This window comes from Homo sapiens, chromosome 10 (genome assembly GCF_000001405.40).
Source record: "Homo sapiens chromosome 10, GRCh38.p14 Primary Assembly".
Classification (NCBI taxonomy): domain Eukaryota; kingdom Metazoa; phylum Chordata; class Mammalia; order Primates; family Hominidae; genus Homo; species Homo sapiens.
This window is the reverse complement of record NC_000010.11, coordinates 96,516,385-96,539,963: the sequence shown is the minus strand read 5'-3', so window position 1 is coordinate 96,539,963 and position 23,579 is coordinate 96,516,385. Positions and strand designations below refer to the sequence as shown.

Here is a 23,579-nt window from a genome sequence, read left to right as displayed (position 1 = left end):
TTTCAGAAGAACGCAAAGAGATAGGCAGAGCTAGTGGTGTGGTTATTCCTATTTTACAGAACAGAAAACCAAGACTCTCCCGTAGTTAGTTTTCTTTGTTGCTGTGCTGGTGGTGGTGATGATAGGTTTTTGTTCTTTTTTTTTGGACATTTTTCTTTTCCTTTCTGTCAAAAGGAATCCTAGCCTAATTCTGAGAGCAGTGGTTATGGTTTTTGCCCTTTTTTGTTTGTGTGTTTTTACAGATGTACTGAGGTAAAATTAACATATGATAAGTTGCATAAATTTAAAGTGTACAATTTGATGAATTTTGATATACATACACCCATAGACACACACACACTTGTGAAACCATTACCGCATTCAAGATAAAGATGTTTGTCACATCCAGAAGTTTTGTTGTATACCTTTATAATTCATCCTTTCTTTTCTTCTTTTGTCTCTCCCCTATTCTTAGGTAACCACCAGCCTGCTCTCTCTTATCATAGTGTAATTTTCATTACCGAATTTCCTTTAAATGGTAGCTCATACAGTATATATTCTTTTTTGTTTCACTCATGAAAATTATTTTGAGATTCATTGATGTTGCATTAAAAAAATTTTTTTTTTGAGACTGGGTCTTGCTCTGTAGCCCAGGCTGGAGTACAGTGATGCAGTCTCGGCTCAAACAGTTTCACCATGTTGGCCAGGCAGGTCTTGAATTCCTGACCTCAGGTGATCCACCCATCTTGGCCTCCCAAAGTGCTGCGATTACAGGTACGAGCCACCACACCCGGCCTGATGTTGCATTTATGAATAGTTTGTTCTTTGTATTGCCCAATAGTATTCAATTGCATGGTTATACCATAATTTATCCATTTGCCCAGTAATTTACTAGTTTTTTGCTATTGTAAATCAAGTTACTGTATTTATGTGCAAGTCTTTCTATGGACTTATGTTTTCATTTCTCTTGGATAAATAACTAGGAGTGGAATGGCTGGGTCATATGGTAGTTTAAGTTTTCAAGAAACTGCTAAACTTTTCCAAAATAGTTTTGACATTTTACATTTCTATCAGCATTCTGTGAAAATTCCAATTGTTCCACATCACTGCCAGCACTTGATATAGTAAGTCTTTTTAATTTTAGCTATTCTAGTGAGTATATAGTGCTGTCTTTCGGTTTTAATTAGCACTTCCTAATGACTAATCATGTTGAAGATCTTTTTATTTGCTTTTTTGCCATCTGTATATTTTCTTTAATGAATGTTCAGATCTTTTGCCTATTTTAATAGATTGTCTTCTTATTGAGTGATAAGAGTTCTTATATATTGTAAATACAAGTCTTTTGTCTTATATGTATTTTGTAAGTATATACTCCTATTTTGTGGGTTGTCTTTTCATAATCTAAAGAGTATTTTTTGAAGGGCAAAATTACTAATTTTAAAGTCTAATTTACTGGTATATTTTTTCTTTTATGCTTTGTGCTTTTTCTGTTCCATTTAAGAAGTCTTTTGCCAAACCAGACATCACTAAGCTTTCCTTATATGTTGTCTTCTAGAAATTTTATAGTTTTAGCTCTTAAATTTAGGTCTAGGATCCATTTTTGGCCAATTTTATATATAGTATGAGTTAAGGGCCAGAGGGGTTTTGTTTTGTTTTATATATGACTGTTCAGTTGTTCCAGCACCATTTGTTGAAAAGATTATCCTTTCTCTGTTGAGTTGCCTTAGCACCTTTGTTGATAACCAGTTTACCATGTATGTGTGGATTTTTATTGCTGGATTTTCTCTTGTTTCATTTTGATTTGTTCTATTTCAATTTGTCTTGTTTTTAATGCTAATACCACATTGTCTTGATTACTATAGCTTTATAAGTCCTGAAATCAATTCTTTTTCAAAGTTGTTTTGGCTTTTCTAATATTCTTTGCATTTCCATATAAAGTTTAGAAGCAGCTTGTCAGTTTCTATAAAAAGTCTTCTGGGGTTTTGATTGTGATTACATTGAATCTATAGCACAATTTGGGAAAAATTGACATCTTAACATTATTGAGTCTTTTGATTAATGAGCAGAGTATATCTCTCAACTTATTTAGATACCTTTAATTTTTCTCAGCAACGTTTCATAGATTTTAGTGTTCAGGTTTTGTTATCTTCTGTTGAATTTATTCTCCAGTATTTCATATTATTCTGTTGGTGAATGATATTTTTTAAATTTCTGTTCCTCCATCTCCCGGGTTCAAGCGATTCTCCTACCTCAGCCTCCCCAGTAGCTAGGATTACAGGTGCACGTCACCACGCCCAGCTAATTTTTGTATTTTTATAGAGATAGGCTTTCACCATGTTGGCCAGGCTTGCCTCGAACTCCTGACCTTAGGTGATCCGCCTGCCTTGGCCTCCCAAAGTGCTGGGATTACAGGCATGAGCCACCATGCCCGGCCATTTTTAAATTTCAAATTCTGATCGTTTATTGCTGTTACAGTCATGCATCATTTAATGCCAGGGATATGTTCTGTGAAATGAGTTGTTACACAATTTTTTCATTGTGTGAACATCTCAGAGTGTACTTACACAAACCTAGATGGTATAGCCTCCTACAAACCTAGGCTATATGTTATAGCCTAATCTTACAAGGCTACAGACCTGTACAGCATATTATTGTACTGAATACTGTAGGCAATTGTAACACAGTGGTGTTTGTGTATGTAAACATAGAAAAGGTATAGTAAAAATACAGTCTTATAATCTTATGGGACCAACGTCAGATACGTGGTCCATCATTGACCAAAAAAAAATTGTTATGTGGCACATGAGAGTACAGTTGACTTTTGAACAATATGAGGTTTGGGGTGCTGACCCCTACCCCCTGCCCGTACAACTGAAAATCTCCCCAAAACCTTAACTACGAATAAGCCTGCTGTTGACTGGAAGCCTCACTGATGATCACATATTTTGTATATGTATTATATACTGCATTCTTACAATAAAGTAAGCTAGGGAAAAGAAAATGTTATTAAGAAAATCGTAAGGTTAGCTGGGTGTGCGGTTTGTGCCTGTAGTCCCAGTTATTCAGGAGGCTGAGGCAGAAGGATCACTTAAGCCCAGGAGTTGAGGCTGTAGTGCTCTATGATCGTGCCTGTGAATAGCCACTGCATTTCAGCCTGGATAATATAGTGAGACCCTGTCTCTTCAAAAGAGAAAATCATAAGGAAGAGAAAAATGTATTTGCTATTCTTTAAGTAGACGTGGATCATAATAAAGATTTTCATTTTCATCATCACATCGAGTAGGCTGAGGAAGAAGAAGGAGGGGTGTCTCAGGGATGCTGTCTCAGGGGTGGCAGAGGCAGAAGAAAATCCACTTGTAAGTGGACTTGAACAGTTTACACCCTATTTTTGAGTGTTGACTATATGTAGGAAAACAGTTTTTTAGGATATTGGCTTTGTATCCTACAACCCTGCCAAATTCACTTATTAGTTCTACAATAAGTGAGCTAGGGTTACTTTATTCTTACAATAAAGTAAAAACTTTAGTTTTTTACATAGATCAAAAGTTTTTTTATTTTTAATTTTTGTGGGTACATAGTGTTATTTAAAAAAATAGATTATCAAATTATTTAAACAGTTTCACTTCTCTTTTTTGATCTGTATGTCTGTTATTTCTTTTTGTTGTCTGATTGCACTGGCTAAAACCTGCAGTATAATGTTGAATAGAAGTGTCAAGAGCAGACATCCTTTCTTTGTTCCCAATCTTGGCAGGAAGGCATTTAGTTTTATGCCATTAATTAAAATAATAGCTATTTTATTTGTAGATGCCCTTCATCAGCTTGTTAAAGTTCCCTTCTATTTGTAGTTCGCTGCAAGTTTTTTTTCTTTTAATTTTGAATGGGTGTTCGATCTTAGAACAGCATTTTCTGTATCTTTTGAGATCTGTGATTTTTCTTTTTTAATTCTGAAAATATGGTGAAAGTATTAATTTTCTAATCTTTAATCAGTCTTGCATTCATTTGATGAACTTCACTTTGTCATGATATATTATTTGTTTTATATATGGTTGGATTACATTTGCTAAAATTTGTTTTTACATCTAAGTTTATGAGAGATATTGGCCTGTAGGCCAGTCTGGAAGCAAAGATAGAATAAGTAATAGCCAAATTCTTGGTTTATGTCTGAGATTGAGAAGATGTGATCAGTATGTAGATCTTTGGGGTATTAAGCACCAATAGGCAGTACTTGATTCTAACTTGTTATTGTTGTAGATAAGGGAGGCCCTCAACATGGAGTAAATCTTTCTTCTCCCCACTGCCTGCTTTCATTCTCCTCTGAACAGTGACTAGAGGAATAGAGGAGAGCCCCATATTAATTTGAGTTCCAGGGTTTTCACCAATATATTAGACCCTCTTAGCTGCTAAATTTCATTCCAAAATAATGTGGAAGCCCAGATAGAAAACAGATACAAGGATGATTTTATTAGTATATTTTGCAAATTAAGTATTTTTAACACTGAATTTAATAAGAGCAATAAAGTTGTGATGAATACAAATCTAATATCAAGGGGTTTGAATAAAGTAAGCTATTACTTATCTTCAGCACCCAATTTATTTAGTTATCAGTATTGAGAAAAATTCTTCACAAATGAGTTCATTCCATGTGAATTTTTTTTTAACAGCTTGCCTTGCAATCTTAGAGTATTTTTCAAGTAACTTCATCCAGAACTTGAACATAAAGGAGTAGGGAACTGGTTTCACAGCTTAATCACTATTTCTAACAAACTGCTCACATTTTTTATCATATATTAAAAAGTTGGACAACAAAAGGGAAAATATTGACAAATGCTAAGCAATTGATAATGTCTTTTTGAGACTGTAGATTCCTTTATTGACTGTTATGTGCACAGAAGGCAAGATGTGCCCTCACTTCAGCTGCCACTCAATTGCCTGTCACACACATTGTGCTGTAGTAGTACTTTTGCTTATACAATTTTTAGTGAACAAATATGTGCAGGCCTTAATTGGGATGAGGTGAAGGAGATAGAATAAAAGACCAATATAGCATTACAAGCCTTCCTAATCAATGACAAAATTCATTCAGTTCAGTATATACACAGAGATAAGCAGGAGAAACTTTATTCTGAGATTTGCATGAAAATGAGTTAACCTGGCTGTGATATCTCCAGTATACTGATATTTGGTATAGAACTCCTTTGAGCTATATATATCTTATTACAGTTGAAAGTGTTTTAAAAAGAAACTATTTTCAAAAGGATACTCAAATCAAATGCTTGTGGAATCCCAGAAGCTCTTCAGTAGGACCTGAGAGTTCTTTGGAACAGTTTGAAAACCATTCTTCTAGACCATGTAATTCAACATAGGAATGTTTTCTTCATTTTCTCTGTAATTCTTATTTGAAATTAGAGTTCTGGTAAACTAAGGGAAAAATATATAGGTCTTTATTACAATGTGTTAAGGTTTATGAGTCTTGTAGTTATTAAGAAAGTAAAAGCAAAAATTGAGATGGAATTTATCACTCCCCATATTTACGACATATGTATAGTTCATAACATAATGCTTAAACTATCTTAAAAACACCTGCTTATTTTTCACATTTCACGTATTTTAATATGAGCATAAATTCATATTATTCATAGGCCTAGGCCTAAACTGAAACGCAGATAAATTGAGTTCCTGAGTCTGATGTTTAAAATGGTATTATGGAGCTCTGTAATTCTCACATATTTATATTTGATCTGAAAAGGAGATGACAGTACCCTTTGGCTTGTTTAAAAACACATATACACACACAAAAGGATCTAATGAAGAATTTTTACTAATATTGGTTCAAAGAGATCTTTCCTTCTTGTGCAATCACTGTGGATTTCCTACCCCATACCTCTTCATTTCTCTCAATCAGTGTCTTCACATGTTTCATTCAGTTTTTCTCTCACTTTTACTTTCTATTTATTATAACCTAAAGTGTATAATTTAAAGACATCTTAGAGGTGATTCAATTCTACTCCATTTTACAGAAGTTCAGAGTGAAATGATCTTAATTAGATGGTTGGCCGGAAAAGAGCTGATTTTATAAAGAAAAAAAGTCACAAAAATAAATGTTTCTAATTGGCCACTTTGGTTCTAAAATCTCCGTATGGTCTTCTCTGTAATTTTAGACTTTGCACTACTAATGGGCAGGAAAATATTTGTACTATTTTACTAGTGACACATAGATAGCGATCTCCTTCTATTAGGATTCCAAGGTAGTGTAGGATAGAAAAGAGTGTGGGCTTTGAGGCTGGCAGATCTGAGTTGAAATTTTGGTCTGGCTCTCCACTAGCTATGCAATTATGGGAAGTTACTTATCCTTCTCTGAGTCTCCTTTCCTTCATTTGCAAAATAAGAAAATAACACATATAAAGCTCTTAGTGCATTTTATGAGCTCAAAAAGCATAGCCAGATAAGTAAGTTGGTTATAATAATGAAAGACAATGGATAAATATATTAAAAAAGCATGACAGCTGAGAGTGAAAGAGGAGAAAAAGGGATTGTGGCAGAGATAGTCTGGAAGAATAGGAAAGAATGGAAAACCAAATTGGATAAGAACTAGTTCAACTTGTATTCAGTTTAGTTCTAATACTTTAAAGCACACCTTTTTGTTTTCATTAGTGTACTTCTTGCACAATTTTAGCTCATATTGAACTTAAACATTTTCTTTTGTGGTCAAATTGTGTTTAAATTGTGTCTCTTTTATTTGTTTATATTAATGTTATTGTTCTCTGAGTAATCACACATTTTTATTTAATTTACAGGTGGCCGTTTGTTGCATCTGTTTTTTTGTTATTCTTCCTCTAAATCTTGTTGGTACAATACTTGGCCGAAATCTGTCAGGTCAGCCCAACTTTCCTTGTCGTGTCAATGCTGTGCCTCGTCCTATACCGGAGAAAAAATGGTAAAGAGAATGCTAAATCTTATGCGATTGTTTCACACAATATATAAGTTCTTAAGGCTGTTGTGTACATGTAACTTTAGAATTGGTATGTATTTATGATAATGACAATCTTAAGTTTGAGCCTAAGAAGTTCATTTTACTATTTCCTTTAACCTACATTGTTAAGAGTAATAATAAATTATACCCTTATTCCACTTTCTGAATATCGTGCCATTTAGAGTTAAGTCAAATGCTTTTCTATGGTGTAGAAGTGGGTGTGAACTAAAGCTGCAGTTTTACTAATCTGCAGGCCAAATCTGGCCTGCTCCCTGTTTTTATCTATAAAGTTTTGTTGGAACTCAGCCATGCCCATTTGTTTACATATTCTCTGTGGCTGCTTTTATAGTACAGCATCAGAGCTGGCAGATCAGTAATGTCAGAGATACTATCACATGCAGAACCTGAAATATTTACTATCTTTCCAGATATTTTAGTACTGTACAATTTAGTGTACATTTATTACATTCCCTATTTATAGGAATAGTTGTATAGTAAGTAGACTGCATTTTTATGATAACGGAGATATATATATATAAAGTCTCTGTCCCTAGATATTTTACCAGATTATAAATACAGCATATTCAGGTGCTTATACAAATAGGTGATAATTTTGCTCTGTCCCTTCTAGACATGGAGGCATGTAGACATTTATAGAAATGGAGGATGAATAAAATAGCCCCTATAGTTTGAATTGGCCATATTCTTTTCTTTCCTTAGATTGGTGCTTATGAGAGACTTTAGTTAGAACTTTTGTAGTTTATTATTTTATTTATTTATTTATTTTATTATTATTATTATTTTTGAGATGAGGTCTCACTCTGTGGCCCAGGCTGGAGTGCAGTGGTGTGATCTCGGCTCACTGCAAGCTCCACTTCCTGGATTCATGCCATTCTTCCGCCTCAGCCTCCCGAGTAACTGGGACTACAGGTGCCCGCCACCACGCCTGGCTAATTTTTTGTATTTTTAGTAGAGATGGGGTTTCACCGTGTTAGCCAGGATGGTCTCGATCTACTAACCTCGTGATCTGCCCACCTCGGTCTCCCAAAGTGCTGGGATTACAGGCGTAAGCCACCACGCCCAGCCTGTAGTTTATTTTTTAAAGTAATTTTTTTTTTGTAAATCAGTATGTTAGGACCCATCAATATCCTTACTGGGAAGGGTAAGTTTAAAGGAAAAGCATAGTCAGAAGTCACAAAAGTTCCTCTAAGTCACTAGGGCCAGTGAAGGAGAGGTCTGGTGAGAGCTTCCTCACCAGAGATGCATTGCAATTAGGTATAGGAAGGCTTGTGTGTGCCTCTGTTTTGGGGAGTATAATCCTGGGAACCTAAATCTGAATACTAGATCTGCCTCTCATTGACTGTGTCACCTTGGGCAGATCACTTTTAACCTCTGTGTCTTGGCTTCCTGTAAAGTAAGGAAAGAAGACTACATTAAATGATTTTTAAGTTTTTTTTTCAGCTCTCAAATTTTACCATTTTCTTCTCAGTTTTTTAGTTTGTTAATTTCATAGTTATTAGTTTAGGATCTTTTTTGTGCCAGGTATTGTGCTAGGCACTGGAAATACCTAGATGAATAGCTTCTGCCTGCCAGGGTTTATAATCTAGTGAGGTTTTTTATATATATGTACACACATGTATTTGGAATTGGACAGTTACAGTATAGCGTGGTAAGTACTGTGGTGGAGGTATTTTCAAGAGGCAGTGGAAGAATGGGAGAAGGACCCACCTCTTCCTGGGAGACTCAGCAAAGGTTTTAAAGGGAGAATATTTGAGCCAATGCTTTCAGGAGAGAAATACGAGACAAGAGAAGGCATCCAGGTGGGGAATTACCAATTACAGTCAGTAAATGTTTGTGGAATGAATGAATGAAGTTTCAATTTTATTTTTTATTTCTTTGGTGCCATTATAAATAAGAACTCATAATACCTTAATTGTATAATTTGTAGGAAAAGGAATTATAGAACCAAGGAGAGAGTGAGCAAAGAGATGGCAAGGCCACAATTTGGGAAACATTATTTCAAATGGAGGTCTCTAGACTCTTCGTTTCTTTCCCTTTGGCTTTTTGTGAATAAATGCCTGTAGAGTTCTAAGAAGTTATGGGAGTCTAGTAGAACCAGAGGGAACACTTAGAGACTTTTTGAAGTTCTGCCAGTGTCAGTAATTTGTGTTCTTCATATACTTGTCTCAGTCTTTAATGCAGAAAGAATATTGATTGTAACCTATGGCTAATTTGAAGTCCCACCTATGTATTGTGCCTCTTTGGGTTTTGGCTTTTCATTTTACTGGTTTGTTTCTATCCTTTAGAGATGATTTTTTAAGTGTCAAGTACCTGCTTTCTGTTATCAGTGTTTATATAACATGGAAATCATACTAGAAGTTTACTATTAATTTTAATATTTTCCAGGTTCATGGAGCCTGCGGTTATTGTTTGCCTGGGTGGAATTTTACCTTTTGGTTCAATCTTTATTGAAATGTAAGTTTTGATAATGTATTTATGTTTTGAGGGATTTGATTATAGTAAGACAATTTAGGAGTTAGGGAACATGTAAAGTTATCAGTTGGGAGAACATCTAATAATCTGTTAATTCCATGATTCCAGAAAGGGAATAGGCTATATAAAGGTAGCTGTTGGCTGTGTTCTTAAATATTCAAGTGATGTTTATACCTTTTTGTATTGTATTCTAGACCTCCCTCACCTAAGAGGAAATCTTAGAAATCAAAACTATGTGTTAAAGAATGGTAGACCAGCCTTTGATCATATGCATGATTTAAGGAATTCCTGGTTTTTATTGTATTTTAAAAATATTTCTGAGGATCTAGGGAACTAGGTAAACCAATACCTACTAGTCCGTCTAGGCCCTGACATCTTTTGATGCATAGTCATTTCCTAGGTTCCTTCCATAGAGGCCTGCAGGAGTGCTAGGAAGTGTGTATGTATTTAGAGATAAGAGGTATGCCACCTTGTGCCACTTACTGTGCTTTACATCTGCATCCTTTGTCACCATTGCAAAATAAAAAAGACTTTCTTTTCTTAGTCTATGTCCCCGTGCCCCCTGATGGGAATACTCTGGTTATTTTAGGCAAGAAAGTTCACCGTATGGGACTTTCTCAGGTATTGCAGCTGTACACCCTTGGCTCCTGTCCACTAAATACCAGTCATTGTGACAACTTAAAATAGCCTTACATGTTTCCAGATGCCCCACTGCTGATTGTCTCCTGTATGGTAGGAGTCTCCTTAACGGACGTAATTGGATTTGGTAGTTGGTTAATTGAAAAAGTTGGCTCATGTAAGATAATTATTTTAAAAGATACATACATAATATTTTAAGACAAGTAAATGTACGTCCACTGATTTTTTTTTTTTTAAATATAGAGCCATGGTCTTTTTTTTCATTGAAATTTTTTCATTTTTTTCCTTTGACATTGGTAATACAGATCCTGTGTTTTCCAGCCTTTTTAAAGTGAAGCAAGAACATAAAGTCCTATCTGAAGCATTCTAAGTGCAGAATCCTTCTAGATTTGTACATTTGTCCCCCAGTCTATAGCCGTCTCAATCACATCGAATTTTATAACTTTTTAAAAGGGACTCACCTTATTGAATCTTTCCAAAGCATTCAACATAATTTTTATAGTAACCACACATCCTTTTTACTCTGATGTTTATTGGTTTATGTAACATTTAATTTAGTCAGTTTAGTCTAATGGTACTAACAGGTACAACTGACATAAATAGATATGGACCAACTCTTGGTTGTCACTTACCAGCTCTGCATATGCTATGGGCATTAGTACCTTAGGAGTTGGAGTGTGTGTCTCTGTAACTCGTGGTTTATTAAAGTCAGTTCAGGAACTTCTTTAGTTCCAGTCTGACAATGCTTTGTGCCTTTATTCAGACTTGACCTGTGACTTCTTTTTCCCTTCTACCCCTGTCCCCAGTACTTCTGAACCACATGTCTTTGTGCTTCTCCAGGCACTGTGTTCCACTAGATAACTTCTCTGCTGTTTCTTCAACTTATCTTCTGTTTTGTCCACCTTCAAACCCATTCTCCTACCCATTTGGTAGCCAAAGTGGTCTTTTTAAGGTGTCATGTCATTTCTTTACTTAACACTTCTTATTTTAATTGAGGTGAGGTCCCAACACCATAACATGGCCATTAAGGGTCTTTATAACGTAAGAACTGGCCCTGTTCACTTCTCCAACTTCATTTCTTAGTTCTTTCCCCTTCATTTAAAGTATTAGCCATAGTGACTAAGAAAAAGAGGGTGAAAGGCTCTGTTGTAATTTAGTGATGACTTGATAATGGATTAGAGTGAAAGATCTTTTTCTTAATTAAAAATCTTAAAGCCTTTTCCCTTGCTGTCCTCTGAAGACAGTGTGAATCTTCTTCAGGCCTGCTTTTCCTAATTTTATACATTATTGCTCTAACTTATTTTTCTACTTATTATTTTATTTTCTATTTAATAAAATACAAACTACATTGCTTGAATTGTGTTGTATCTACAAAACAATATGGATACAAATACGGATTTTTTAGCTATTTTCATTTGTTCTTTTCTACATTATACTTCTTGAAGCTTCTGTTTTATTCAGTTTGTGTAGAGGTGAATGCCCTACTGAAGAATCTGTTTTTCAAAGATTATCCAAGAAAATATTTTTTGAGAGAATTCTAGTGGATTTAATTGATGAAGACATGGTAAGAGAAGCTGTTGGAAGATACTTGAAAGAAAGTCATTAAGTGAGAAAAAAATGAGAACTAAAATGTGAGACTCACGAAGAGCAGAGTGAGCTTTAAGAATAAAGACTGGAAACCTGTGTCTTTATTGCATTTACTTAGGTATTTCATCTTCACGTCTTTCTGGGCATATAAGATCTATTATGTCTATGGCTTCATGATGCTGGTGCTGGTTATCCTGTGCATTGTGACTGTCTGTGTGACTATTGTGTGCACATATTTTCTACTAAATGCAGAAGATTACCGGTGGTAAGTACCTATTTGTGGATAGAAATTTGGGGAACCATAATATTTTAAAATAAGATTTCCTTTGAAATCTATCAAGTGGAGTAAAGAGCTGTATAGAAATGTTGTTACTTAAAATAGCATAGGGATTTTTTTCCAGTTATAAAAATGATACATATTTTAGAGAAAAAATATCAAATTTTTAATGTATTAATGGAGTACTGTGTTAGAAATATTTTTTACAAAGTGCTTGATATGAAAAGAGTTTTATGAGAAGCATTGCTCCATTCTAAACACAAGGAAACTTAGATATGAAAAAGGAAATGGTGTATTTATGGTCACTGGTAATAGGGAATCTGACAAAATTCAAGATTGAGCTTTCTAATTCTTAGATGTTTTCCTTGTTGATAAATTTGAATACCATGTCTATGCATTTGTTTTTTAAATAAGTTTTAAAGGACTTTAAAGGATGTTTTATTAAATTCTTTGCTTTAAAATCTTTGTTTTAGTGCCATTCATTCAAAAGAGATTTATCTTCTTTCCCCCTCCCCCCACCAGGCAATGGACAAGTTTTCTCTCTGCTGCATCAACTGCAATCTATGTTTACATGTATTCCTTTTACTACTATTTTTTCAAAACAAAGTAAGTGGAGACATTTTTTTACCTTTTATTTAGGAAACTAAATTTGTCCTTTAAATACTAATATTTAAGGCCTTAAGTTGAAAGTAAAACTGGATATCCTATATATATTTTGTTTTATTTCAGGATGTATGGCTTATTTCAAACATCATTTTACTTTGGATATATGGCGGTATTTAGCACAGCCTTGGGGATAATGTGTGGTAAGTTTTGAAATTCTTTGAACATCATGAGTAAATCTGAGTTTCTCTAAATCCGAAAAATACAGTAATTGGAAATTAAGAAATTTTATCTGTTGTTTGATCAGAAACACCAAAATAAACCCGAGTCTGATTTCAGTCCTTTTGACTCTTCCCCACAACATAATTTATTACCTTATTAATTTCTATTTTTATAGAAATTCTAGTAATTCTGTATAGCACAGAATTTCATATCACAGTTTTTCATTCATGTTGAGAATTGGCTTTTTCATTTTATTTATTGTTTTTAGAGACTCAGCTTCTTAACTAGCTGGGACTACAGGCACATGCCACTGTGCCTGGCTTGAGAATTGGCATTTTTTAAAGCTTAGGTTCAATGGAAGATCATGATGTAGGCATGTTAAGGTGTTGCCTGAATGATTCCTGTTTGGAAACTTCTCAGAGTATTCTTGGAGAAACCAGGAGACACCTAGGAGACAGCACAGTTTACTTGTTATGATTGCATACTTGGGTATCTACAGACTGGACTTAAGTTCTAGCTGTACCATATGTATGCTTTCCACCTTGATCTAGTTCCCCAAGCTCTCTAAGCTTCTGTAAAGTGGGGATAAAACCACTATTTATGGATCTATCATAATCATCTATTAAAAGGAAGAGGTAATAGTTTTCACCATGTGATAGAATCTCTAGAATGTGTGAAATAGCTAGAAAATAAAGAACTTTTGGAAACAGTATGATAAATGGGAAAGGCATAAGCATGAGAGCCTGAAAGCACTGGAATAAATGTCCATGCTGTTGCTCAGCTTTTTTTATGGCCATGGAGGTCACATTAACCTTTCTAAGTCTCATTTTTATCTGTAAAATGGGCATATCTTTCAGAGTGGTTGTGAGGAATAGTGTCATGTGTGTAAAGCACCAAGTGTAGTGTTGGGACTGTTATTAGGTAGTAACGATAGCCATTTACATGGTGAGATATGGAAAGAGCTGGCCTTTTGGGGTCAGTCTGTTCTGGGTGTGAACTCCCCACTTAATAGCCATGTTACTCTGGCCAAATTATTTAACCTTTCTTCCTCAACTTTACTCATTTGCAAAATAGAAATAATACCTACCTCATAGGGCTATAAAGAGGATTCAGTGATTAAATGTGGATAAACATCACGTGGCTGGTAGATGCTCAGTGAGGGGTAGCTGCTGCTGCTATTGATGAAGGCTGAAAGTCCTTGGGCTTCCTTCTGCTCTGGAATTGTGTCTGTGTTTCTGCACAGTCTCTGTGGGATTCTACACCTTGTGTTTTCATCTCAGAACAACTTTATGACTCTAAGTTCTGGCAGAGGTAACTTAAGGGAAACTCATACAAGTAACTCACTTTTTTTTGGGCTCAGTGTTTTACTTGATAAATGAGACTGGTCCCTTAATTACTTTGTAGGAATGATGTGTTTTACTTGATAAATGAGACTGATCCCTTGGTTACTTTGTAGGAATGATGTAAGGCTGCGGGACTAATCATGGTGGAAACATTTCCAGAGAGTGGATAATTTTCCTCCTTTTTCTGTTACTTGCCATTGGCTATTTATGTATGTATGTGTGTATTTGATAATTCCACCTTTGGCTATATAAGATATATATAAGATATGGTAATCTTATTAAAAGCTAAGTCTTGGTATGACATTTATGGACACCTTTGGGGTACCAAGATTGCTTTGTTTCTCCATCAAAAGAGCCTGTTCAGTTCATATACACTATGTATGTGATCATGTGTGTGCGCACACACAAATGAGATTGTCCGTAAAGTAGTGAATGAAACATTCCACAAGGAAAGATCATTCTCTATGTTATAGTCACATGTTTTATTTATAGCTGCTGTGATAGCCATTCCCTGTGATAATTAGTAACCAACTTTGAGAGAAAGATGAGAGGGACTGAAGGTTAAAACTACATTGTGTCAGGTGGAAACATCCCTATTCTTGGACAGTCAGAAGGTTCCTTATTATTTGCCATCCTTTCTTCAGAGTATTGTTCACTGGACTCCTCTTTATTTTATCTGAGATTTTTCTTGATTATCACCAGCATTCAGTGAGGTATAGAATCGATTATGCAGAGAGTTAAAAAAATTTTTCTTGACTTGACTTTTTCTATATGTGATCTTAGGAAGACCCAGAGAGGTAACATCTTGACATTTACAAAGAAAATGGAATGAATCTAGCTAAATTTTTTGAGTGCTTTTCCTGCTGAAATTTCATCTTGCTGCCTGAAAACCTTGGCACATTTACAGTTCCCTGCTGTTCTGGCAATGTCCCAGCATTTATTCTTTAATGGGTTTATATGCCTTCAGTACTTCATTTTTCAGGGGCAGGTGGGGAGAAACTGTTTAGACTGGAAGTCATTAGAATGTCATCATAATACAAAAATTATATATATCCATCAATTTATGTTGCTAAAATGCTTGTCAGTAATTAAAACAAAAATATTTGTTGATTTTTTTTAATGTAGGAAAAAATGACTACATTAAGGTGGGATATTATGAGCATAGCATTTTTGTTTTGAGGAATTAAGTTTAAAAGTGCACCTCTATTATTCCTAAGATATTTACTTTTCTAGAGGGCATATTCAGTATTCTCTTTTTATAAAGTCATGCCCTTGTAAGTTTATTCTTGAGGTACTCATAAGATTAGGAAAAATGATTCTCTAGGTTGAAACTGTTTTGATTTTAAGCATATTTCTGCTCAAAGGGGAACAATGTTTTGTACGTCTGGAAAATTGGATTTGGTTATTGGACTAGTATTATACCATTAAAATTTTTGATGCTAATTAAAATTTTATACATCTTTTCGTGTCGTAAGGATTCAGGTATATTTTCACAAAATTGAATGATTTTTCTCTTATCCTGTAAAGAATTGTATTGTAACTATTCTAAAATGCATTATCAATATTTTAAAATGTAATATTGTTATTTCCTATTATAAAAGAAATGTCATTGCAAAAATAAGTGGAAATAGTGTTGCTTTGTCACTTTGGTTTTTTGTATTTTAATATTTAATAAAGGGAAACTTTGAAATACATACAAAAATAGGGACAATACTATATATAGTGAGTCCCCATGTACTAACACCCAGTGTCAGTAATTATCAACTCATGGCCTATCTTGTTTTATTTATATTCTCACTTTGTATCCCCCCCTTTTATTCTGACATGAATCTTAGACCTTATGTCATTTCAAGTGTAAATATTTCAGTATATGTCTCTCCCTGAAAGATAAATGTAATTTCTTAATATGATGGAATAATTCAGTTAATGTTCAGATTTACCACACTTGCAATGACTTCTTTTTAAATATAGTTTGTTTGCTTTGAGATCAATTAAGATTCATGAATTGCTTGGCTGAAATGTCTCTTAAGGCTCTTTTAGTCTATAGATATTCTCTCTCTCACTTGCAGTTTATTTTTAAAACTTAAACAATTTCTGTAGAATTTTCCAGACTCTGGATTTTGCTGATTATATTGCTGAAGTGTCATTTAAAGTTTCTTCAAGTGGTAGTTAGATCTGTAGGCTTGATCATACTCAAGAATACTTGTCCAAGAATGTTTAACAGGTGGTTTGTAAGCTTTTATCAGGAAAGCACATAATTTCTGGTTCTATTTCTTTGTGAAGTTAGCAGCCATTGATAGTTATTGCCTAGCTCAAATAATTCATTAGTGGTTATAATATTCTAATTCTGTTGTTCCTTTTATATTTGTTAGCTGGAATACTTCCATAAGGATAACCTTCCTTTCATCAACCAGTTGGTAGCCTTGGGGTATAGTTCATACATAGGAGAAACAGGAGAGATGCTTGATTCTTGCCTTTCATTCACCAGTTTAGTGAATAAAAGATTCACTAAAAGATTCGTTCAAGGATGACTAGGCATTTGTGTGTGCACTTAATATTACTAATTAATGGAAGGTTTTCTTTTAAGCTTTCAATAATATTGGGCTACATCATAAATTCCTGAGGCCAATGGAGATTTCTTCTCTGACAGTTCAATAACCAACTGCATTGTCCTAAAGAGCCCTTAGTAGGTTGGTACAAAAGTAATTGTAAAGCTGCAAATACTTTTGCACCAACCTATATTTGCAATAAAGAACCATCTAGTTCATTCATTCATTCAACAAATATTTACCAAGTATCTTATATGCCAGGCACTCTTTTAGACACAGGAGATAAATATTTTACTTAACAAAACAAACATCCCTGATTTCTGGTGTTTTAAGCTCTGGTTGAGGCTAATTGTTAAAAAACAACATTTCAAAACTTCTGACCCACTTACCTCTCTGTCCTGTCTATTCCCGCAAATATGTCATCCCTACTACCAACTACACAGCTTCTACAACTTAAAAATAAAAAAGAAGCTGTCAGAAAATGCCTCTTCTCTAGAGCTTCAACTGCTATTGGGACATGGTTCCCTGTCCTTCCTTAAGAGAATTTTCAGTCACTTCTAACTATTTATCTATTGGATTTTGGGAAGATATATTGATTTTTACTTTAATGACCTAGAATAGTATATCTTCAAATCAAAGAAGGCATGTTTTTTGATTTAACAACCTTTTGCCATTATCAAATTATTCTTGCTTTATAAGAGATGTATTTTAATTCTGTAGTTACTGATTATACAAGAAATAATTGCTACTTGATTAGACTTGGCGTATGATGGTCAGACTCAGTGTATTATGGTATCAGGTGATTTGCAAAGCAAATGATACAGTTTTAGTAAGTTCAGAGAGAATACTAACATAAGGATATTTTCTTTAAAAAAGAATAACTTTCCAGAGCATAGAGTATTTAGTGTTTTTAAATGATGGATACTGCTCTGTATGTATTTGTTTCAAAACATCTTATTTTATCTTTGCAGGAGCGATTGGTTACATGGGAACAAGTGCCTTTGTCCGAAAAATCTATACTAATGTGAAAATTGACTAGAGACCCAAGAAAACCTGGAACTTTGGATCAATTTCTTTTTCATAGGGGTGGAACTTGCACAGCAAAAACAAACAAACGCAAGAAGAGATTTGGGCTTTAACACACTGGGTACTTTGTGGGTCTCTCTTTCGTCGGTGGCTTAAAGTAACATCTATTTCCATTGATCCTAGGTTCTTCCTGACTGCTTTCTCCAACTGTTCACAGCAAATGCTTGGATTTTATGCAGTAGGCATTACTACAGTACATGGCTAATCTTCCCAAAAACTAGCTCATTAAAGATGAAATAGACCAGCTCTCTTCAGTGAAGAGGACAAATAGTTTATTTAAAGCATTTGTTCCAATAAAATAAATAGAGGGAAACTTGGATGCTAAAATTACATGAATAGGAATCTTCCTGGCACTTAGTGTTTCTATGTTATTGAAAAATGATGTTCCAGAAAGATTACTTTTTTCCTCTTATTTTTACTGCCATTGTCGACCTATTGTGGGACATTTTTATATATTGAATCTGGGTTCTTTTTTGACTTTTTTTTTTTCCCAATCCAACAGCATCCTTTTTTTTAAAAGAGAGAATTAGAAAATATTAAATCCTGCATGTAATATATCTGCTGTCATCTTAGTTGGACCAACTTCCCATTTATTTATCTTAAAACTATACAGTTACATCTTAATTCCATCCAAAGAAGATACAGTTTGAAGACAGAAGTGTACTCTCTACAATGCAATTTACTGTACAGTTAGAAAGCAAAGTGTTAAATGGAGAAGATACTTGTTTTTATTAAACATTTTGAGATTTAGATAAACTACATTTTAACTGAATGTCTAAAGTGATTATCTTTTTTCCCCCCAAGTTAGTCTTAAATCTTTTGGGTTTGAATGAAGGTTTTACATAAGAAATTATTAAAAACAAGGGGGGTGGGTAATAAATGTATATAACATTAAATAATGTAACGTAGGTGTAGATTCCCAAATGCATTTGGATGTACAGATCGACTACAGAGTACTTTTTTCTTATGATGATTGGTGTAGAAATGTGTGATTTGGGTGGGCTTTTACATCTTGCCTACCATTGCATGAAACATTGGGGTTTCTTCAAAATGTGTGTGTCATACTTCTTTTGGGAGGGGGGTTGTTTTCTTCTGTTTATTTTCTGAGACTCCTACAGGAGCCAAATTTGTAATTTAGAGACACTTAATTTTGTTAATCCTGTCTGGGACACTTAAGTAACATCTAAAGCATTATTGCTTTAGAATGTTCAAATAAAATTTCCTGACCAAATTGTTTTGTGGAAATAGATGTGTTTGCAATTTGAAGATATCTTTCTGTCCAGAAGGCAAAATTACCGAATGCCATTTTTAAAAGTATGCTATAAACTATGCTACTCTCATACAGGGGACCCGTATTTTAAAATCTCCAGACTTGCTTACATCTAGATTATCCAGCACAATCATAAAGTGAATGACAAACCCTTTGAATGAAATTGTGGCACAAAATCTGTTCAGGTTGGTGTACCGTGTAAAGTGGGGATGGGGTAAAAGTGGTTAACGTACTGTTGGATCAACAAATAAAGGTTACAGTTTTGTAAGAGAAGTGATTTGAATACATTTTTCTGGAACTATTCATAATATGAAGTTTTCCTAGAACCACTGAGTTTCTAGTTTAATAGTTTGCTATGCAAATGACCACCTAAAACAATACTTTATATTGTTATTTTTAGAAAGACTCAAAACACCTGTATTTAAACCTTAATATGAAAATCATGCAATTAATAGTTACACAAGATGTTTTCATTACAAAATATGTACCTATCTATTGATGGACTCTACATCCTATATTGTGACATGTAAGTCCTTTAAAAGGTGAAAAGTATGATTTCTTACCACTTAAGTATGATTGATATGATCCAACAAATTTGATCAGAAGCTGTAGGTAAATCCTCTTCTGAAGCCAAAATGGTATATTAAATATAATTTATTGGTACTTCCATTTTCTCTTCCTTCTTACTTGCCTTTAAGATCTTATAAAAAAGAAACTAAAAGTTAATATTTAGTTGCCTATATTATGTAACCTTTTAACTATATATAAAGTACTTTTTTGGTTTCTTTCTCACCACTTTTATTCAAAAGTACTTTTAACATACCAATACATAGTCTGTCTGATGGGAGTATAAATTGGACAGTAAGGTTTTGTCTTAATAAAATGAAATTTGTTTCTCATGATATGAATCTTGCAGGTAAGATGTAGGGTTTATTGAAAATGTGTGGGTTAAATGCTTTCAGGTACACCAATTCTTTCTACTAAATTGAGCTCTATTTGAAGTTCTTTGGAATCTGTGGTGAAAAATAATTTTCTGATTTCCAAATACATTAAGAGCATTAAATGAATATTAATCACCTTTAAAGTCTTTTAGAAAAGGACTTGTATTGGTTTTTGGCTGCATAGAGGGGTTGAATAAGTGTATGTATGTGTGTGCGTGTGTGTGTGTCTTCTTAAAGAAGATGTAATTCACAAATAGTTTAGCTCCCTAGCGCTCAGTTGTAGAATAGAAAATAGAACATTATTCAAGTTAATTGAAAGGTGAGGTTTTTATACCCCCACTAATGCTGTGTATCTGTCTTTCGTTTGTTAACATTATTTGCTTAATTTCTTTCAACTCACACTTTGGATAATACTATCAAAAACTAAGGCTAAACATTCCTTGTGTATCTTTAAGCATGCTTCTCCTGAAATTTAACTACATTAGTAGTTGACATTTGTATACATATATCCTAATACAAGAGTAGGATAAGGTGGAAATGTAATGGCCTGAGGGATGGTGAAGCATTCTTTTAGTATTTTTCATCATGTTGGGCTCCTAGATTGTACTGGGGTTGCCCATAAATCAAACCCCATACTCTTAGAATTCATTATATTATGGTGATATCCGAACCTAGTGAATGGTATGCTTGGGTGTTTTCCATTGAGAGTGGATGGACCTCTTTATAAAGTTGGTTGCTGCAAAATCCAGTTCTTCCAAAAGCCACTTTATTTAGGGTTTATTCACAAGTCATATCCATTTTGGTACAGTGTTTGTTTCCTAATATTTATTAACCACCTTATACCAAATGTCTTGCAAAGAAATGTTATTAAAACCTTGAATTTTTACAAATGTAAAAAACAAAAAGTGTATTAATGTATTTGTTCAGGAAAAGCTACATACCGAAGGGCTTTTGTATATGAATTCTGTGGTGGGGAGACCCATTTGTAATCTATATGGCAGTTCCATCTGGGTTTTAAGTTTAGATTTCACCGTGTCTTAGTGCTTCATTCTATTGGTTTATTGGAACATGTAATAAATAGGAGTAGTGATGTATTAAAACACAAGTATTCATTAATGTTTTATATCTTCACTAAAATTCTATAGTTATGAAACTATCAATCAAGGTGTTATATTTCAGTCAGAAGTGAAAATTTATGAAGAGTATTTGGAAGTGTGTACAGAAATAAACTAGACTTACAGGTAGGCTAGATCAGAACGTTAACATATGAACCTGCAGAAATCTGGTAAGACTTAAATTCAGTGTGAGGAATAACTCTAGTTCTCTCCTATGAGCATTTCCTAAAAGCCATCTGATTTGGCATTCTTACTGGAGCTGCAGACAGAAATCTACAAAGACAAAAGTAAACAAAATTAAGTTATTATTCCACTGTTAGGAATGGAAATAAACTTGTGAAGTCTGTTTATTTTGAAGTATTGGTGAACTAGGCTTGCTAATTGATAACTGCAGCAGTTTGTGTTTACTCCAGTTCATCAGCTTAGGTCATTTGAAAGATATAAGAGCTTAAGGCAAGAAAGAAATAACATGGAATTCTATTTGAAGGACAACAGAACATTCTTGGAAAAGCAGCTCCAGTTGGTTTTTCAACTGTCAAACTTGAATGTGTAAGTCCCCACAGAGCATGGACAGTCGGTGCAGAGTTCCAAGGAAACAATTATTGCCTGATGACCACTTCCATTTTGTATACACTCTTTGGTTCGTATAGGCCATATTCCAACTGGCTTTTTAGTAATAGAAATCCAGTATATAATGTATCAAATACAATTGAGGTTCTAACCTAGTGTGTTAATTTATCTGAATTTGGATTTTTAAAAAGTAATAAAAAGTTAAATGTACTTCCTTTGGATTCCTTATTTCTTTCCTTTTTGAAACATGAACCAAGCATAAGGGATAACCCATTATTGACAGGCAAATGAATAACTTAGTAATAGTTTTCCACAATTAAAGCAGGGGTCTGCAGACTTTTTCTGTGAAGGTCTAGATAGTAAATACTTTCAGCTTTGAGGGCTATGCAGTCTCTGTTGAAACTATCGTTGTAGCACCAAAGCAGCCATAGTAGACTACATAAACTAATGAGCATGGCTATGTTCCAGTATAACTTCACAAAAATGGCCCACAGGCCATAGTCCGCTAACCCCTGGAATGATGTATTTAAAATTTAAGGTTTAAATTTGTATTTCAAAAGTGAACTGTAATATACAGTAAAGTTGAGAGAATGGTCCAGTGAATAAGATTGGTCTTTCTTAAGAATGATTTTTCTTTTATTGCCATTCTTTTGACTTTTTTGTATACCTATTCTGACTCTTACACTCAGACTTTACCATCTATTTGCCTGCCATCCTCTGATTGATGATTCTTTGCATTTGTTTAGCATTTACTACTTTTTCAAAGCAGTTTCACTTGTTCCTTCACAACCATCCTGTGAAGCTGGTAGAGTAGATAGCTGTGTTTTATGGATAAGAAACCACAGCTAAAGGTGCTCTTATGTTTAGCCCAGAAGTCATCAAGATTCAGGGCCCTGTTGTCTTGACTATTGTAACTGTAAAATGGGGGTGTCACCCTCTCTAGCCTGGGAGGCAGGTAATATATGTAGAAGTCACATTGAAAATTAGTGTTCTATACGAATGGAAGAGATTATTTTTATTGTGCCACATTGAAATCAGTGGTTAATTTCTCCATGTCTATTTGTATGTTTTGTTTTTCCGTTTCTGACTAGTTTTTAAAAATCCTGACCAACCTCCTTGGTTCTTTTCCCCTAGTTTTATTAGGTGCCTCAGTCAACACCTGTACTTGGCAATTCCCGTTAGCCACATCATTGGTACAAATTTGGATTACTTTTTATTTCTTTAATGAACACTTTTTGTCTGGTTGGAAAACTAAGGACAGAAGGGACTCGTATGCAGCCAGCTTCTTGATTTCAAGTGAACTATTTTTGTGGAACTGTTACTCTGCAATATAACATTAGAAAAGGGGGGAATAAGCCTAATTGGGACATGTGGAATCAGTGTAGTTTACAAATGTATTTTAAATTACTTGATTATTTGAAATGATTTTCAAAGTTTGCACGATTACTTTGCTTGACAGCGATTTCAAAGGAAAAAAATGTGGGAGATGGTTGCAGGGGAAAATTGATATAAGTGGGGCTGGCCAATGTTATGGTTATTCTTAGTGTCTCAGTCTAAGCCACTAGGATTGCAAGACTTAATATTGAAGGTCAGTGAAGAAAAGGGAGAGTCTAGAAAGTGAGACATGGAAGGTGATTCTAAGTTGGGGTTGGTCAGAGAGGTCTGCTGCAGTTATAGACCAGAAAGGGCAGTCCTGGATAGGTAAGTGTCACAGATAGGGTAGCTGCAATGCTGGCATGAGGATGTGGGATATGCGATTATCAGTGTGTCCCAGGCAGAGACATGGAGGGTGTGAAGCAGCCTTGTTAGGATGACTGCAGGGTGTTTTAATGCCAGAAGACTGGAATGTGGGAGTTGTAAGGAGCCAAGACTGGAAAGGTGAAAGGAAGGCTTGATGATGGACGGAGGACCTGTTATGCCACCCTGAAGAACTTG

The 23,579-nt window shown here is 34.5% G+C and overlaps 1 protein-coding gene across 2 annotated transcripts in view; it reads left to right on the top strand.

Annotated features, from left to right (window-relative positions):
- The window catches only part of TM9SF3 (transmembrane 9 superfamily member 3), a 68,903-nt gene extending 47,049 nt beyond the window's left edge, over positions 1–21,854 (top strand). For both annotated transcript variants that reach the window (NM_020123.4, XM_011539976.3), the window contains exons 10-15: positions 6,774–6,913; positions 9,356–9,424; positions 11,787–11,933; positions 12,468–12,551; positions 12,675–12,751; positions 17,634–21,854. In NM_020123.4, coding sequence (NP_064508.3) covers positions 6,774–6,913; positions 9,356–9,424; positions 11,787–11,933; positions 12,468–12,551; positions 12,675–12,751; positions 17,634–17,701 — 585 coding nt within the window. In that variant the 3' untranslated portion in view covers positions 17,702–21,854. The remainder of the gene's footprint in view (positions 1–6,773; positions 6,914–9,355; positions 9,425–11,786; positions 11,934–12,467; positions 12,552–12,674; positions 12,752–17,633) is intronic.
- The last annotated feature ends 1,725 nt before the right edge of the window (positions 21,855–23,579 follow it).